General features: G+C 41.0%; 1 protein-coding gene across 11 annotated transcripts in view, besides 3 other annotated features; it reads left to right on the top strand.

Moving 5' to 3' along the window:
• CCL28 (C-C motif chemokine ligand 28) overlaps positions 1 to 18,344 on the top strand; it is a 55,417-nt gene that overhangs the window by 9,639 nt on the left and 27,434 nt on the right. For 6 of the 11 annotated variants that reach the window (XR_427660.3, XR_925633.3, XR_241706.4 and 3 more), the window contains exon 2: positions 14,277 to 14,403. Coding sequence is in view for 4 of the 11 variants with exons in the window: in NM_001301874.2 (NP_001288803.1) it covers positions 14,277 to 14,403 (127 nt within the window). In the remaining 7 variants the exon portion in view is untranslated. Of the gene's footprint in view, positions 1 to 5,615; positions 5,719 to 14,276; positions 14,404 to 18,344 lie in introns of those variants that run through there. The other 5 variants (XR_007058612.1, XR_007058610.1, XR_007058611.1 and 2 more) reach the window with 1 other exon arrangement.
• Positions 5,435 to 5,524: a silencer, noted in NCBI's record as "silent region_15994". NCBI's record gives its function as "represses an Ori minimal core promoter by ATAC-STARR-seq in GM12878 lymphoblastoid cells {active_cell/tissue: GM12878}" and the evidence as "EXISTENCE:reporter gene assay evidence [ECO:0000049][PMID:35858748]".
• Positions 5,575 to 5,634: a silencer, noted in NCBI's record as "silent region_15993". NCBI's record gives its function as "represses an Ori minimal core promoter by ATAC-STARR-seq in GM12878 lymphoblastoid cells {active_cell/tissue: GM12878}" and the evidence as "EXISTENCE:reporter gene assay evidence [ECO:0000049][PMID:35858748]".
• Positions 15,705 to 15,774: an enhancer, noted in NCBI's record as "active region_22538". NCBI's record gives its function as "activates an Ori minimal core promoter by ATAC-STARR-seq in GM12878 lymphoblastoid cells {active_cell/tissue: GM12878}" and the evidence as "EXISTENCE:reporter gene assay evidence [ECO:0000049][PMID:35858748]".

Raw genomic sequence — 18,344 nt, 5'->3', positions numbered from 1 at the left:
GGGAATTCCCCGACCCCTTGCACTTCCTGGGTGAGACAACGCCCTGCCCTGCTTCAGCTCACGCTCCATGGACTGCACCCACTGTCTGACAAGCCACAGTGAGATGGTCCCAGTACCTCAGTTGGAAATGCAGAAATCACCCGTTTTCTGTGTTGCTCACGCTGGGAGCTGTAGACTGGAGCTGTTCCTATTCGGCCATCTTGGAACCGGCACACACCAATTTTTTAGAACAGAAACAGGATCACAATCTACATATTGTCTTAACACATATTTTAATCATAGATAACAGTATATCTATTCAACACAAAAAGTTAATTCTGAAAATCTGCATCTTCATCTTACATAAAACATTTAAACTTCCCAGAACAATTGGGAATGTTAATGTTTCATTTATTCATTTATTATTAATATTAATCAAGGTCCTATTAGGAGACAGAAACCAGATAATTTGAAAGTTTAATATGAACAAATTATTAACTATAACAAGAGATAGGCTAGAAAGAAAGAGAATTTTAAGGAATGTAGGAAAAGCAGATATTCCAAGGGCTAAAACAAATCACTCAAGGAAGAATTCCTGCACCCTTACCCTCCCCAGCTGAGATCCAGCCATGGCTCAACAAATGGCAGAAAAGTCACCTGTCTGTACTGGCAGAACATGCTGGATATCCACCTTCTAGTTTGCAGGGGAAAGTCCTTCACAGGGAAGCATCTCACTGGACATGCTGGGCTACAAACCTGCCTGTAGGGGTGCTGCTAGTTGCCATGCACTGAAGCTAAAGCACTGCAGAAGCTGGGTCTACAGGAACCTGATGAGAGAACCCTGGAGCCAGGAAGGAAAACCCCCTCTTCCTGCAATGTCCCTTCAATATCTTCTGTAGATAAAGTTTAACAACGTTCCAGCTAGCCAAGGAAAAATATTTAAGGGCCCATCTCAATTTCATAGAACAGGAAATTAAGGGTGAGTTTGAAACTGAGGGAAAATAAATAAACAAGTGGCACATTCCACAAACATTTAATGGGCACCTGTATACTTACTATGAGCCAGGGACTGTACTGCATATTGGCCCACATATGTCCTTTTTGTTTCCATTTATTGAGTGTTGTTTGTCACTCCTGTTCTAAGCACTTAAATGTACAAACTCATGCAATCTTCACAATAACCCTGAGGTAGATGCTAGGACCACCCCCATATTACAGAAAAAAGGATTGAGATACAGAGAGTTAACTCACCCAAGGTCAGCTAGTAACTAGCAGAAGGATAATTTAAACCTGGTAGTCTCCACATGCTTAAGTACCATGCTACAAAGCCTCTCAGGATGTTTTTATGGCACACAATTATCCAAACCCCTTCAAGACTATCCCCTGACCACTCTAGTGTCTGTATCATGTTAAAGCAAAGAAAAATCCCCATCCACTCTCCATGCCCCCAAACATTATCCCAGGGTTCCAAAAAGTACCTGGCAGGACTTTATTTGGGAATAGCAGTTCCATATATCATGGATTAGTGAGTCCTACCTGCCCACTTAGTGACAGCAGTGGTCATCTGTTGGCACCCACTGCATGATCTGGCTACATTAAGGTGTGAGGTCCACAAGAATGGAGAGATGTGTTCTAACCACATTCTGAACATTATGTGTTGCCTTTTTTTTCTTTTTCTTTTTTTTTTTTTTGAGACGGAGTCTTGCTCTGTTGCCCACACTGGAGTGCAGTGGCGTGGTCTCTGCTCACTGCAACCTCTGCCTCCCAGGTTCAAGTGATTCTCCTGTCTCAGCCTCCTGAGTAGCTGGGATTACAAGCACCTGCCACCACGCCCGGTTAATTTTTTGTATTTTTAGTAGAGACGGGGTTTCACCATGTTAGTCAGGCTGTCTCGAACTCCTGACACCATGATCTGCCCACCTCGGCCTCCCAAAGTGCTGGGATTACAGGCGTGAGCCACCACACCCAGCCTGCCCTTCTTAAATTGCACTCAGTCTTGAGACACTGCTAGCAGCTAAGTGAATCTTTTATATCATTTTTATCTTTAGTCTGCAAATCCTTTCTCCAATAATTGCATGTGCCTTTCTTTACTCTGTTTCTATTTTGCTGTGTTCTATATATAGTACCAGTGCCTTTCAAATTGCATTTCTAATCAGCTCCCAGGTGATGCCATTGTTGTGGCTCTGGGAGCCACACTTTGAGTAGTGAGATCCTATACAACACATCCAAGTAAGAGGAAGCTGTTCACGTCTCTACAATAGCAAGATCCTTTCCTGAAAACCCAAAATCTGCCAGGCGCAGTGGATCACGCCTGTAATCCAGCACTTGGGGAGACAAAGGTGGGAGGATAGCCTGAGTCCAGGAGTTCGAGACCTGCCTGAGCAATAGAGTGAGACCCCACTCTCCAACAATAACAAAACCCAGAATCTAACTTTTGTATCACAAATTTGATGTGTAGTGCCAACAGTTCTTGAGCACTAAGAGATCTTTACAGCCCTCTAGTGACTAAAACTGTATCATAGACAGAACCAAAACAGGGACTCACATTCCTGGAAAATCATCCATACACTTAATACTGGGAATAATAATGACAATAATCCAAAACTAATAGAAATAACACCAGAATAAGGCCAGGTGCAGTGGCTCATGCCTATAATCCTAGCACTTTGGGAGGCTGAGGTGGGAGGATTGCTTGAGGCTAGGAGTTTGAGACCAGCCTGGGTAACATACAACACCCTGTTTCTGCAAAAAATTTTAAAAATTAGCCAGGCATAGTGGGGTGCACCTGTAGTCCGAGCTACTTGGGCAGCTAAGGCAGGAGGATCACTTGAGCCTGGGCATTCAAGGCTGCGGTGAGCCGTGATCACACCATTGCGCTCCAGCCTGGGCAACAGAACAAGACGGTCTCCCAAAAAAAAAAAAAAGAAAAGAAATAACACCATAATAAGACAAATAGGAATGCTTTTGATCAGATACTAAAAACATCTTTACAATATTACATATAGTGAACAAATGATTTATCATATTGACTGACCCCTTATTACTTCAATGTGCAGGGATGGTACCTATGAAAAGCACTGTGTAATTGTAGATAATTTGGGACATAAGAGCTTGACCAAAAACTGAAAATACTATTCCTAGAAAAAAAGCAAAAATATTTTGGACATTAAAAGCCTTAAAACAAGATAAAAATGAAACACTGATAAGATCGGAGCTTAGTTCAGTCCAAGAAACTTTTTTAGCACTAATACCAGACAATGTGCTATGTGGTGGGGGGTTACAAAGATGCCCTGTGGGAGCTTACAGTCAAAAGACAGTCATATAGACTCTTAATGTCATACATGGTAAAGACTAAGATATAGGAAAGCACAAGGTACTGTGGGACCTCAGATTCAAATGGGGAAATGACAAAATTGGAAGAAAGTAGACAACTGAGAGGTTCAGCAGTCCAGAAGTCAATTAATAAGGTCCTGAACTAAGAGTGGTAACAAGGAGAAAGAGGAGACAGATCTGAAAAGTGTTAAGGAAAATACAATCTACAGGAGTTTGACTGGCCATGGGAGTGCAGAAGATGGAATTACACTTGGATAACAGTACAAAGTGATTAAACGAGATGAGAAAAGGAAAACAGTAGATTTAAAGTGGCAGGAGATGATGTCTTCAGTTGCGGCTCTGTTGAGTTTGGGGTGCCTGTGGGATATCCAAGTGCATATTCAATGGCAGGTGGATACACATCAGAATATTTGGGTAGAGCTAAAAAAACACATTTTGAAGTTACTGACATAGTAAAAATTTTAAACATGAGATGTGGAAAGAAAAGAGCAGTAGGTTAGGGATGGCACTTTCAGAATGCTAACTATTGAGGAGAGGGCAAAGGAGGACGCATTCAAGAGGCAGAGAAAGTAATTTCTCTTCTTTTTTTTTGAGATGGAGTCCCTCTCTGTCGCCCAGGCTGGAGTGCAGTGGCACAATCTCGGCTCACTGCAACCTCCACCTCCCGGGTTCAAGCAATTCTCTGTCTCAGCCTCCTGAGTAACTGGAATTACTGGCGTCTGCCACCATGCCCGGCTAATTTTTTTGTATTTTTAGTAGAGATGGGGTTTCACCATCTTGGCCAGGCTGGTCTTGAACTTCTGACCTCGTGATCCTCCTGCCTTGGCCTCCCAAAGTGCTGGGATTACAGGCATGAGCCACTGTGCCCAGCTGTAATTTCTCATTATTCAGAATATTAGAAGAGACTAGTAACTAGGAATATGGAAATTTTCAAGGAAGGAATGGGTAAGTGTTAAATACAGCAGAGAGGTCCAATGAGACAATGTTAGAAAAATGTCTGCTCTGCCTGGGCACAAAGTGAGGTCCCATCTCTACAAAAAAATAAAGAAATTAGGTAGGCATGGTGGTGTGCACCGGTGGTCCCAGCAACACGGGAGGCTGAGGCAAGAGGATCACTTGACGCCAGGAGGTGAAGGCTGCAGTTAGCTGTGTTTGTACTACTGCACTCCAGCACTCCAGCTTGGGTGACAGAGCAAGATCTTATCTAAGGAAAAAAAGAAAAAAAAGTCTGCTAATTGCTAATTGTAGGCGCCCTGAGGGCAGGTACTATGACTTATTAATTCTTATATACTCGGTGTCTGTTACAAAGACTGATACAATGCAGGCAGCACCCTATAAATGCTTCTAGAATTTTACTGATGTGACAATCACTTGAATTAGTAAAATAACACACTTCTACGATTCAAAAAGAAACATGTCGGTACTAGATATTGTAGACATTTTTCCCAAGGGAGCTTTTTCTTGACCCAACTCTGCCTAAATTTTTAGTAGAAAAATATTAATAAAGGAAATACAGAAAATACCTTTCCAACAGAAAGAATAAAAAGCAAAGAAAAAGGATTTAAAAACGCAAAAAAAAGAGAGAATAAATGAATACAAACCAAAAGATTAGTGTAGCAATGTCAATAACAGAAAAATATGATTTAAGCAAAAAGTTATAGTAGAAATAGAGGAATCTTAACCGAAAGATAAAAAAGTTCACTTCACAGAAAAGCTATCTCTAGGGCCCAGACTCCTGTGAGGCAAGAGAGATGATCGAGGCGTGAAAATGCAGTCAGATTTTGTTTTTATTTAAAATTGCAGCATTTTACTAATCATAGACTTTTTTGCATTAATTTTTATTTTTAAAAATATTGCATCCAAATATTGCTTATCTTCATTACGGAGTTCTTTTGGCGGTCCCTTAAATTCTGCACCTGAGGCTCGTGCCTCATTTTAATTCTGGCTGTGGACCAGGAGGGTACTTGGGCGTCTGAAAACATAACCCCAAGTGTTGTATCACATAAGTAGACAGAAATGCAAGAAAAAAAAAAACTGGCATAATCCCAATAACAGTGGGAGATTTTAACATACCCGCATCAAAAGCTGGCCGATCAATTAAAAAAAAAAAAACTAGTAAGGGTTAGGGAATGCGTGCACAATACAACGTTTTCTCCTGCAGCTCTGTGAAGGGCAGCCCGCGGTAGGCTAGGCCTGGTCCTGGGCGCCCCAGCCGGCTCCCCCGGGTCCAGGCGTGCGCCTGCGGGCGACGTGCGCGTCTGGGCATCCGGCCGTCACGCGCTGCCTGGGACTCCACCCTACCTACCCTTCGCGTAGTACTTGTTATACTTTGGCAGCTTCTTCACGTCGGTCCTCTCCGCGCGCGGGTAGGAACCGTCCACGGCCTTAAAGAAGCCTCCTCACCAGGTCAGTGGCGCCAAGCAGGTTGCGTACGCGCAGAGGCGGGAAGGGCGGCTGGACGTCGCCCAGGTAAACGACGTCCCGCGCCACCCCTTTCTTGTTGCTGTCGCTCTGCACTTCCCGCGCTCTTCCTTGCTCTCTGCTTCGGCTACCGCCCGCTGTTTTCCACTTCAGTCTCTCCTGGTCCACGGCAGCCACGACTACAGATACCAGTAGCGCGACAGCCTCAAAGCGCCATAACGTCGTGCTTTTCTTTTTTCGTTCTTTCTTTCTTTCTTTCTTTTTTTCTCGTGCTTTGTTTCCTCTGATTTTCCTTTTCCGGGTTTTTAGTTGAACACACGTTTTTTTCGTGTATGTGTTTTAAATAAATGCATTTAGGGCTAAATTTAACTGTACCCCACCCATTATAATAAATAGTACTTTTACGATTTTCCAGAATAAGATTTTGTGGTTTCCTCTTTAACCCATGAGTTGAATGCTTTGTTTCTAAGCTTAGAGCCAAACATTTATTTATTATTAGAGACAAGGTCTCTGTCGCCCAGGCTGCAATGCAATTGTCAGAGGCGAGTGAACCAGAGCAACTCCCATCTTAAAATAGGAGCTAGGTAAAATGAGGCTGAAACCTACTAAGCTGCATTCCCATCTAAGTCACAGGATGACATAGGTCAGCACAAAATACAGGTCATAAAAGACCTTGCTAATAAAACAGGTTGCAGTGAAGAAGCCGGCTAAATCCTACCAAAACCAAAATGGCCACAAGGGTAACCTCTGGTCGCCCTCACTACTACACTCCCATCAGCGCCATGACAGTTTACAAATGCCATGGCAACGTCAGAAAGTTACCCGATTTGGTCTCAAAAGGGGAGGCATGGGCTGGACGCAGTGGTTCACGCCTGTAATCCCAGCACTTTGGGAGGCAGAGGCGGGCGGATCACGAGGTCAGGAGATCGAGACCATCCTGGCTAACACGGTGAAACCCCGTCTCTACTAAAAATACAAAAATTAGCCGGGTGTGGTGGCGGGCGTCTGTAGTACCAGCTACTGGGGAGGCTGAGGCAGGAGAATGGCGTGAACCTGGGAGGCGGAGCTTGCAGTGAGCAGAGATCTCGCCACTGCACTCCAGTCTGGGCAACAGAGCGATACAGAGCGATACTCCGTCTCAAAAAAAAAAAAAAAAAAAAAAAAGGCGGGGGGTAAGGCATGAATAGTCCACTCCTTGTTTAGCATATCATCAAGAAATAACCATAAAAATGGGCAACCAGCCACCCTCAGGGCTGCTCTATGAAGTAGCCATTCTTTTATTCCTTTGCTTTCTTAATAAACTTGCTTTCACTTTGCACTGCGGACTGGCCCTAAATTCTTTCTTGCACGAGATCCAAGAACTCTCTCTTGGCGTCTGGATGGGGACCCCTTTCCTGTAACGCAATGGCAGGATCAAAGCCTCCAACTCCTGGGTTCAAGTGATCCCCCTGCCTTAGCCTCCCAAGTAGGTGGGCCACAACGCCTGGCTAATCTTTTAAATTTTTTGTAGAGACAGGGTCTCACTATGTTGCCCAGGCTGGTCCTGAACTCCTGGCCTCAAGCAATCCTCCCACCTCAGTCTCCCAAAGTACTGGGATTATAGGTATGAGCCACCACACCTGGCTCAAACTTTTAAACTATTACTTTGCACAGGAACCTTCACTTCAAACACTAAGAATTTAAAAAAGGAGCCATGACTGCAAATACAGTGAGATAAAGCTATGACACTTTGTGAGAATAAAGTAGAAATTGTGGATAAAATGAACAATTTCTTGGAAAAATAATAAATATATAAATATATATGTAAATATATATATATTATATATACAAGTAAGCCAATAACAAATCCAACTTAAACATCTTTCCTCAGACACCAGGCCTAGATAGTTTTTTAAGTTTTACCAAAAATTGGAGGAACAGAAAATCTTTATCTTATACAAACTCTTTCAAAGGATGGAAGAACAGAGAAAACTACCTAATGCATTGTTGAGATTAACATACCCTTAATACCCAAAACATGGAAGGATGGTAACAGGGTATAAAAGTATAGATTAATTTATGAACAGAGGTGCAAAAATCTTAATAAATAGCATATCTTATACAATATATAAAAATTAATATATTATGAATAAGTATGGTTTATCCCAGGAGGGCAAGGAAGAAAATAGATTAATCCACCGCAGCAATTTAAAACTTTCAATGGGCTAGGTACTGTTCTAGGCATTTAGCAAAGTAACAGATTTTAAAAGAGAAAAATCCTTTATTTCCTACACAGGAATTGAGAAGAAAGAGATGAAAATGACGATTTACCTGTAAAACTGGAGTATCTACTCCAAACTATTAAAAATAAAAAAATTCAGCAAGGTTGCTGGATACAAGAGCAACATTAAATAATCAATAGAATTCTTATACATAAAAATTAACTAATTAGAAAAAAGTATTTTTAAAGAGTTCATTCACAATACAACAAAATATATAAGGTACCTAAATATAGATCTAAGATATACGACATTATCTTATCATTTTCTTCATAAAGATCTTGGAGGACCAAGAAAATCTGAATAGATAGAGAGATAATTCCATATTTATGAATGGGAAGACAATATATTTCAGATCTTAGTTGTAAACTTAGTGCAATTCCAACCACAATTCCTGAAATTCTTAAAGAACTAAGCAAACTGATTCTAAAATTTATCTAAAAGGTAAAGGATCAAGAACAGCCAAGACAATTTTGAAGAATAAATTGAGTGGGAAGACTTATTGTATCAAGTTTTGAGATTTATTAAAAAGTGTCTTAGTTGAAACATGTGGAATTGATGCAGAGATCAATAAGTAGAGCATGAGACAGAAGAAAAAGCCCAGAAGCAGACCTATGTGTATGTGTAAACTTGAAGATTTAAGGAGTGTCTGCATATCAGTGAGATGGGGTGGTTCTGTTATGGAAAGAACAATCCTGCCAATGAAAGATTCCTCTGTACCAATACAGAAGAGAAAAAAAAGTATTACTGAGTAAGCATTAACACATTTACAAGCATGTACGGCAGCACAAAAGTGACTATGAAATTGGAACAGAATTTTATATAGCATAGCAGAAGAAAGAATAACTTCTCACCTCCTCAAAAGATAAAAGGGTCACACCTTGTGACAGTTTCTACACGTCTTGTGAGAGACCCTGAGCTAAATCCAGAGGTGTTTTTAAAAATACATCTGGAGGTTATTTGGCCCTTGGCCTTGGATATATATAGCTATTATTACAAAAACTGAAGAGTGGGCTTAATCCTTGTAGAGATTTATCTCAATCCAAAAGTAAAGATTAAGATACACTATGTCTTTAAAGAACCTCATCTTAAGAATGGAGGAAAGGAGGCCGGGCGCGGTGGCTCACGCCTGTAATCCCAGCACTTTGGGAGGCTGAGGTGGGTGGATCATTTGAGGTCAGAAGTTCAAGACCAACCTGGCCAACATGGTGAAACCTCACCTCTACTAAAAATACAAAAATTAGCTGGGCATGGTGGCTGGCACCTGTGGTCCCAGCTACTTGGGAGGCTGAGGCAGGAGAATCGCTTGAACCCAGGAGGTGGAGGTTGCAGTGAGCCGAGATTGTGCCACTGCCCTCCAGCCTGGGCAACAGAGTGATACTCTGCCTCAGAAAAAAAGAAAAGAAAAAAAAAAACGGAAGAAAGGGATGGGTGTGGTGGTAGCTCATGCCTGTAATCCCAACATTTGGGGAGGCCAAGGTGGGCGGATCCCTTGAGTCCAGGACTTGGAGACCAGCCTGGGCAACATGGCAGGACCCCCATCTTTTGAAAAGACTTTTTAAGTAAAAAATACATACATTTTAAAAAGTATGGAATAAAGGGGGAAGTGGTTTCTTTGCCCTTTGTAAATGGAGAAAAAAATTTCATTTACCACTATAGTTCTGAGACAATAGGTATTCTCATGCAAAAACTTTTTTTCTGACTCACAATCTATAAAAAATAAATTACAGGGGTAAAAAAGCTTTGCTTTTTAAAACAAAATTATTATTATGTTATTTTTATGATATCTGACTATGGGAGGATTTGCTAAATAAGACATAAATGGCAAACTGTAAGGAAATACTTCAAAGTTAAAAGATACACTTACCAAGGGGGAGAAAATATTTTCTAATTACTGAGAAGAGATAAGTATCCCAAATATTTTATGAGTTCTTATAAATAATTTTTTAAAAATCAAGGTAAAAAAATAGCTGGCAAAAATAAGATTTGGCAATTCAAAGAGAAAATGTGAATGATTAATAACTTACCAGTAGGGGAACACAAATGAAGCCACATTAAGGTACAATTTCAACCCCATCAGATTGGCAACATTTTAAAACGACATTATGAAAAGTTGTTGAGGATGTGCAGAAATGGAACTCTCATCAACTGCAGGTATGAGTGTAAATTGGTATAATCACTTTGTAGAGCAATTTGCTGGTATGAAATATAGTTAAAGATGCATATATCCTACAACCTAGCAATTCCATGTGTAAATCTGTTTTTCAAGAACGGTGGTTCTCCAAATGTGTTCCAGGACTAGCAGTATCAACATCACCAGGGAAGTTATTAGATATGCAAATATTGGCCCAGCATGGTGGCTCACACCTGTAATCTCAGCACTTTGGAAGGGCGAGGCAGGCAGATCACTTGAGGTCAGGAGTTCAAGACCAGCCTGGTCAACATGGTGAAACCCCGTCTCTACTAAAAATACAAAAATTAAACAGGCGTGTTGGCACACACCTTTAATTCCAGCTACATGGGCAGCTGAGGCAGGAGAATCTCTTGAACCCCGGAGACGGAGGTTGCAATGAGCCGAGATCGCGCCACTGCACTCCAGCCTTGGTGACAGAGTAAGATTCCATCTGAAAAATAAATAAATAAATAAATAAATAATAAGATATGCAAATGTTCAAGCCTCCCCTCAGATTTACTGAATCAGAAACCTGAGGTAAGAGAGGTATTTGATTTTGATACACATTAAAGTTTGAGAACCACTGCTGTAGAGAAATTCTCACACAAGCCCCAAGGAGACATCTAGAAAAGCAAATAAAGTATAACCAAAAGGCCTAAAAAGTGCCAGAATGTATGTATTCAAATTCCAGCCCCACTATTTATTTCTTGGCCCTTTGATCTCGGGGAAGTTATGTAGTTTTTCTGCATATTATTACCCATTTATAAAATGGTGATTAATATACTTTCTTCTGCATATAGTTGCTGTGTAGATTATTTAAATTAATTCACACATGGCAGTTACACTAGTGCCTGGCACACAGTAAGAACTCAAACAATGTCTGTTATCATTAGGATGTTTGTTGTAGCCTTGCTTGTAACAGTAAAGTACTGGAAACAGTTACTTAAAAATAAGACTGAAGGCAAATATGGAAAAGACTTAACATTAATAACATTTGGGTGATGAGTATATAGGTGTTTTTATTATTCTTGGTAGTTCCTCTGTGTTGAAATGTTTCACAAGGAAAGGGGAATAGTAGTTAAGTCATCATTTATTTATTCACATCTACATTTCCACAGAAGTATTAGTTTAGGTGAATTGTCATGTCTTGATTTTTAAAGTTTCCATAGAAAGAGGTTACTGAACTCGTGTTATTGGTATAAAATATAAAGCTGTCTGGCCTCAAAATACTTTTCATGTCATCCTCCTACAACTTACATTCATAAATTCTATATTCCAACCAAATTTGCATGAATCTGCCTTTTTCCACATTTGTATCTTTACACCCACTGTCTCCTCTATATTTACTGCCCTATTCATATTCTATCCATTTTTCACATTTTCAGCTCAAATGCCACCACCTTGATAAAGATGGACCCAAGTCTCTATAATTTATCGCTTCTGCCTTTCAGTGTTCCAGATACCATTCTGTTTATCACATAGCCCTTGCCACATTTTCTCTTATGTTAGAAATGTTTTCCCCCTACTTTCTTTCACACACACTCTACAGAAGCACACCATTATTTTTAATGGAGCAAAAGTTGATACAATCTCAAAAATGCCAGAGCAAACTGATTCAAATATGATTTAAATACTGATTTCAATTCACTGCATAGACACATCAGATGCTACCCATGGAACTCCTATACTCTGGGCTTCACTGGTTGGTGAGTAGAAATTGTGATGTTCTGGGTCCCCACTTTCTTGCCTGGCAGTAATTACAAAGTTGCTGCAGGATTTCTCAATCCAAATATTCTTGACAATTCTCAAATAGTGGGTCCTGGAGAAGGGTACTTTCCCTCTAAGAGTCTGGGGGAAGTTGACCTGATAGTGTAGGAGGGATGATCCCTTGCATAATCAGAACCCTTACTCCCAGTTTTGTGGTTCCTCTGTTGGGCAGCTGCTCTGGATCCATTTGAAACCCACTGGTGGTTGCCCACTTCTCCAGAGAGCTGACCTCAGTGCCTGCTTCTCAGGCCAGCTGGGAAACGCATCTGCTGATCTCACAAATCACTTTTCAGAGAAATTCCCAGATGGATCTGTTGGGCTTTGCCCTTCCCAAAGCAAAGGGAGCACCTCTAGGAGGGGTTAGGGAGGCAGTTGGGGGTGGATCAGGCAAAGTCTTGCATTATACCTCAGATCCTTGCTCATTCATACCTCTGGACTCCGCTGCTTTATTAAGCCCACTCTGCAAGACTTCTCTTATTTTCAGTAATAGTCACATATTTCTCTTCAGGGGAACCCCTTCTCCATCATACAGGTTTGTGTTTGTGTGAACTCCAATTCTGGAACATAAGCTGGTTATTTTCCATTATATACCTGACCAAGGTGGTCTTTGCAAACAGGTTTTGGCCTCCCCGACCTCTTATCAGCTTGCCTCCCCAACAACCTCTCCAACAACCATTGTTCAGTATCATCTGAACAAAACTATGTAAATGCTGAAGAAATGTCACATAATCATCTTTTTCAGCCTAATTGACACACCAAAATCTCTCCTATATAGAAATTCTGGAGTCATAATTGAAATAAAGGGAAGTAGCTGATGGCTTTTTAAAAATGGAACTATTCTGACAGGAGGCTGCAGGAGGGAACCTCTAGGGGGCGATGTTATCTAACAGAATTTTACAGTTGCCCTATTCGGAACTACCCAGTTTACATTCTCCATTGCCTAACTTCCCATGTTCTCTCCAAAGTTGTTTCCTGGCCTCTTATATTTTCTGCTTCCTCTGGAGGGCACTAGTTGCACCTACTAACATGTAATAAATGCTGGCCTGCTTCTTGCCTTTTTATAGTTAATGTGACTTAGATCAAGTGATCTCCAGCTGAGCCCATCCTACGTTTATATTAATATTTGAGAAATGCAATCCAGTTTACTAAGTATATATAGGCCCCCGGTACTCTTCTGGCTTAAGACTGTTTGAATTGATATCAGCACTCAGATAACTCAAATTCCTAAACACACAGATTTTCTTGTGATTCTTAATTGCTACCATGCTTCTGAAAGTATGTTTCCTATTAGAGTTGCTTGGGCCACAGCTAATCTTTGAGGCTAGTAACGCTTCATCTTTCTACCTTCAGGGTCTAGCGTAGTGATTCACGTATAGTGAGATGGGTGGATGAATGGGTGGATACGTGATAAATCCAATACCTTGTTCAGGATATTAAGAGTTTGACTTAGGCAGCACAGCATAGCTAAAGAAAGAAACAGTTTTAGGAAATAAATGCATTAATAAATGTAGGAACAACCAGTATTCACAAACCATAAAATTCTCCATTTTAAAGTATAAAATTCAGTGGTCTTCAATATATTCACAGAATTGTGTGATCACCAATATCTAATTCCAGCACATTTTCATCACTCCAAAAAGAGATCTTGTACCTGTTCACAGTCACTCCGTGTCCCCTCCTTTCACTCGTCCCTCTCCATCCCTTAGCCCCCCAGCCCCTGGCAACCACTAATCTACTTTCTGTCTTTATGGATTTGCCCATTCTGGATCTTTCATATAAAGGGAATCATACAGTATGGCCTTTCGAATCTGGCTTCTTTCATGTATAATCCCATAACCCTTTGAACATAACTCTTTAACACTTATTTTGCTGTGTTGGGATTATTATGGCCTGCCTCCCACTGGACTATTAAGCATCACAAGGACAGATTATGCCTTATTTCAACTTTGAATGCAGAGCTCAGGGCCTGTCACAGAATGGGCAATCAATAAATGTTTGCTGAACGAATGATGCTTTTCCAGTTCCAAAATGCATGAAACACCGTGTTGACCTCACTCCTTTCATCTTTGATCAGTCTGCAGTACCACCAGAATCCTTGTCTGTAACTCTTTTCATCTCTTTCACTTGTTTTGTGTCTTTGCCTAAATTTACATTTTCTCTTTCACAAATATAGCTTAAATTCCAGAAAGTGGGAACATGTCCTGCCCCAAGTCTGTATTCACAAAGCCATGTTTGCCCCTTGTTTGTGTGGATTAACATTGTTTCTCTGAAATCTTTAAAATGAGAACCATGCCAGTGTTCTATAAACCGTAAAATTTAACATTTTCTTTCTTTTCTTCTTTTAGCCATACTTCCCATTGCCTCCAGCTGTTGCACGGAGGTTTCACATCATATTTCCAGAAGGCTCCTGGAAAGAGTGAATATGTGTCGCATCCAGAGAGCTGATGGGGATTGTGACTTGGCTGCTGTCATGTGAGTGCTCATCAGCCGGGAGGTCTAAACCTGCACAGTGATTATTTCCCTGCCCAACGAATAATAGGTTGGAAAGGCTTTGCTTGATTACAACATACAAACAATCATCCAAACAAGGGAGGGAAGAGTAAATATTCTGTCCATTAGGCCCCAGGCTCCCTGGAGTAAATTCATAGTCTCTCTGTCCAAAGATGTCCTGAGCCCCATACCAGCACACCATCTACTTCCACCCTGTAGTGCTGTGGTTAGGACTAAATTCCCCCAGTCACCAAAAAGTGTTCATGACTTTCCCAAGCAAAACAAAACCCCAAACAAAAGATAACTCTGTTATATTTCATGGCTTTTAACCTTTTTTAGTATATGGGTTGCTGTCATTTCTACTTTATGAATTCATCAGGAGCATATTATAAAGTTCAAAAAGTTAGGCTGGGTGTGGTGGTTTATGCCTGTAATCCCAGCACTTTGGGAGGCCAAGGCAGGGGTATCGCTTGAGCCCAGGTGTTCAAGACCAGCCTGGGCAACATGGTGAGACCCCATCTCTACAAAAAACTTTAAAACTAGCCAGGCATGGTGGCATGCACCTGTAGTCCCAGCTACTTGGGAGGCTGTGATGGGAGGATCGTTGAGCCCAGTTCGAGGCTGCAGTGAGCCGTGCTCATGCCAGTGCACTCCAACCTGGGTGACAGAGTTAAATCCCGTCTCAAAAAACCACCACCACCACAACAACAAAAAGGCAAAGAAAAACAAAAGAAAAGGTTCAAAAAGAAGCGTGGAAATATCTATACCTGTCACAGTGCTATATGCAATCCAATCAGAAATGCCAATCCAATCTCTGCTTTTGATTCTGTGGTGTTGGTTCACAGTGAAGCCTCCCACCCCTGCCCCTGGCTCAGTTATTAAAAGCTTTGTTTGTATATGTACTTAACATTTCTATGGAGGCTCTAACATCTGAACTGCATTGGTATTTAGTAAATCTGGATTCTGACAACAATGCTGTGAGGAAAGCATAAATGATCTCCCAATCATACACAGGAGAAAGCTGTGACTCAGGTTACACGGTTCACTTGTGTACAGCTCGTGAATTGCAGAAACAGGATGTGAACCCAGGTCTCTTAGTTCAGAACACTTGTACACCTCCAATGTCATTCTAAAGCAGTGGTGGGACTAACCATAAAATACCCTCTCCAAACTCTACTGCATCCGAGTATCAGGCATCTCCCTGGCATGCTGGTTTTAACACCATTTGTGGCTCCAGGTGATGCTAGTGAGTCATTTGGTGCTCCTTTCTTTGGGCTATAAATAAACCCATTGCTTATGCCTGAGCTCCTGAGTCACTCAGAAACCTTATTCTTTCAGTGAATTCAACAAATATTTATGAATTAACAATTATGCACCAAGCACTGTTCTATATGCTGGGGATGCAGTGGTGACAAAATGGGTTCTGTCTGCCTAGAGTCTCAAGGGGACTCTTTATCCAGCTGGGTTCTGCAGATCATCTTAATGATTTGAGATGATCTCTGGAATTTGAAATATATTTTCCCCCCTTTCAGAGGGATTTATCCATTATTCAATTTTGAGGAAAAACTGCTCCAAGATAAGCGTTCTTAAAAGTTCAGAGGAAGAGTTTGTAAGATGTCTGTTGATAGACTTTCATCAGGTTAGGGGCTGTGAACTTCCTGAAATTTTTGTGTATGAACCTGTGAGCATTTTTAGAGGGTCCATAGGTTTTATAAGATTCTCAAAGTTTCTGAGATCAAATAAAGTTTAAAGGTCACACTCAGGGTCAGATGTAGGGGAGGAAACAATTCTTGATTCAAACTTGTATTAAGCATGAGTGTCTTTGTGGGAGAAGGGAGAAGCCTGAGAATTTTCTCAGCATCTCCTCAGTTCAAGCCACCACGTGGCTCCATTGGCTCAGGTGGTTTAGTCATTGGGAACCAGCATCATCTGTGGCACTCCAGGGGCTACATACCAATGAGGATTCTGAGGGGTGCTCCAAGTTCCCAACTTCTTTGAAAAATTCCTTGGTACATGTCTGGCCAAGATTCTACCAGTCTTTTATTTAATCTTAAAGAATATTGTTGGTAATAGTTGGAAAGTAAAAAATTCATAGACAATGCGTGGATAGACAATGCTCTAGGTAGTTAGAAACAGCTGGATATTTGTGTCAAGTGGACACAGCTGCACTAAATCTGTCTGAACCTGCTCCAGTTGCTCTGAGAAACTCCAAATTTTCAACTCCTCTCAATTCCTTCCACCTTATTGGCACATATCACCTCAGACTTGAAGCTTGAAGCTTGTAAGGGCTCCAATAGGACTCCCAGAAAGGCTTGGAGAAAAAAAACAGAGGAAGTTTCTGTGGGTGTATAAGAGATTCTGGAGGTTATCCAGGGAAGGTATTGGTAACAGGATTTTCAGGGATGTTTCTTTGGGATAAGCAGGTGTCAGAGATCTGAAAGGCATAGGAACAGAAATGATGTTTTGCTGTGATAAGGGAAAATATAATCAGAAACATAAGTCTTCATTTTAAAAAGGACTCAATTTTAATTAAAGAGGAACTAGGAAGCCAATCAGTTGGATCTAAAAATATTTACTTTATTCAAGCACAATTTGTAAATTGACCTCTCTGTGCTAAGAAAGCTGAAAAATACAGAGTTGTTATGACCTAATCTCAAATAAAATTAAATTTAATTCTGTAGTATTTTTTTAACCATAAATTACAGATCCTGTCTGTTGTGTTTCCTGATGTTCAACAAGAATAGATAAAGATTCTCTTGTTTTCAGATTAGTTTAGTATGGAGCATGTCTTTACTTATCTAAAATGTAGTCCCTTATCCCTGACTGGGTATAAAGACTTTAAGATTTGAGAAAGTGTTTAAGATGCAGAAAGCATTGCTAACACTGGAAATGTAATTCCCAAGTAGCATGTATTACTAATAACAATTAATTAATATAAGTCAACGTACGGTAAACTTACTAGGCTTCTTTCTTTTCTGCCTAGAAATAGGTCCTATGTTTTATACCTTATAAATGGTCATTGTAGTTTTTGATGCCTGAGACAGCAGTTTTCTTGTTCAAACTCCTCTACAGTGACTTCATTAATGAGCTTCTGAATGTTTCTGAACATAAATACAATAACAGGTTGTTTATCATGGCCGGGCGCGGTGGCTCACGCCTGTAATCCCAGCACTTTGGGAGGCCGAGGCAGGCGGATCACGAGGTCAGAAGATCGAGACCATCCTGGCTAACACGGTGAAACCTTGTCTCTACTAAAAATACAAAAAAATTAGCCGGGCATGGTGGCAGGCACCTGTAGTCCCAGCTACTCGGGAGGCTGAGGCAGGAGAATGGCGTGAACCCGGGAGGCGGAGCCTGCAGTGAGCCAAGGTCGCGCCACTGCACTCCAGCCTGGGTGACTCCGTCTCAAAAAAAAAAAAAAAAGTTGTTTATGTTGGGCAGAGGCCTGAGGATTCTTGAATCAAACAGACATTTTTTGTTGTGAGAAAATTTGAGGTTTTTAAATAGAATTATCTGGAAGGCTTGAGTAGTTTTTCAGATGTGGTTGTGAGGCGTTGTTGTGTTTAGAGGAATGGGTAAAGAAATAAAGTTTAAGGGATATTAAAGGTATAATCTCTATGGCAGGGCCACCCCTTTACGTCCATCAGACTATCTCCAGCTATCCTCCTGAGGGTTAAGAAAAAAAAAAAGGGGGATTGGCCTCAGGATTTCTTACAGTCAAAACTCTCCACCTACAAACTCACCGTTGGGAAGGTGGGGATTGGTGCCCATCAGAATACTATGGAATTGCGAGTAGGGGAAGGAATGTGGAATAGGCCAGCCCCGTTTCCAACATTACTTCATCTCTTTCTATCCTGGTGGAAAATACATGGGATCCAAGTAGAGATTTAAGAAGTTTTTAAACTTTAGGATTCTAAAACATC

Source organism: Homo sapiens, chromosome 5, assembly GCF_000001405.40.
Source record: "Homo sapiens chromosome 5, GRCh38.p14 Primary Assembly".
Classification (NCBI taxonomy): domain Eukaryota; kingdom Metazoa; phylum Chordata; class Mammalia; order Primates; family Hominidae; genus Homo; species Homo sapiens.
The sequence above is the reverse complement of the archived record's forward strand: the minus strand, read 5'-3'. Positions and strand labels throughout refer to the sequence as shown.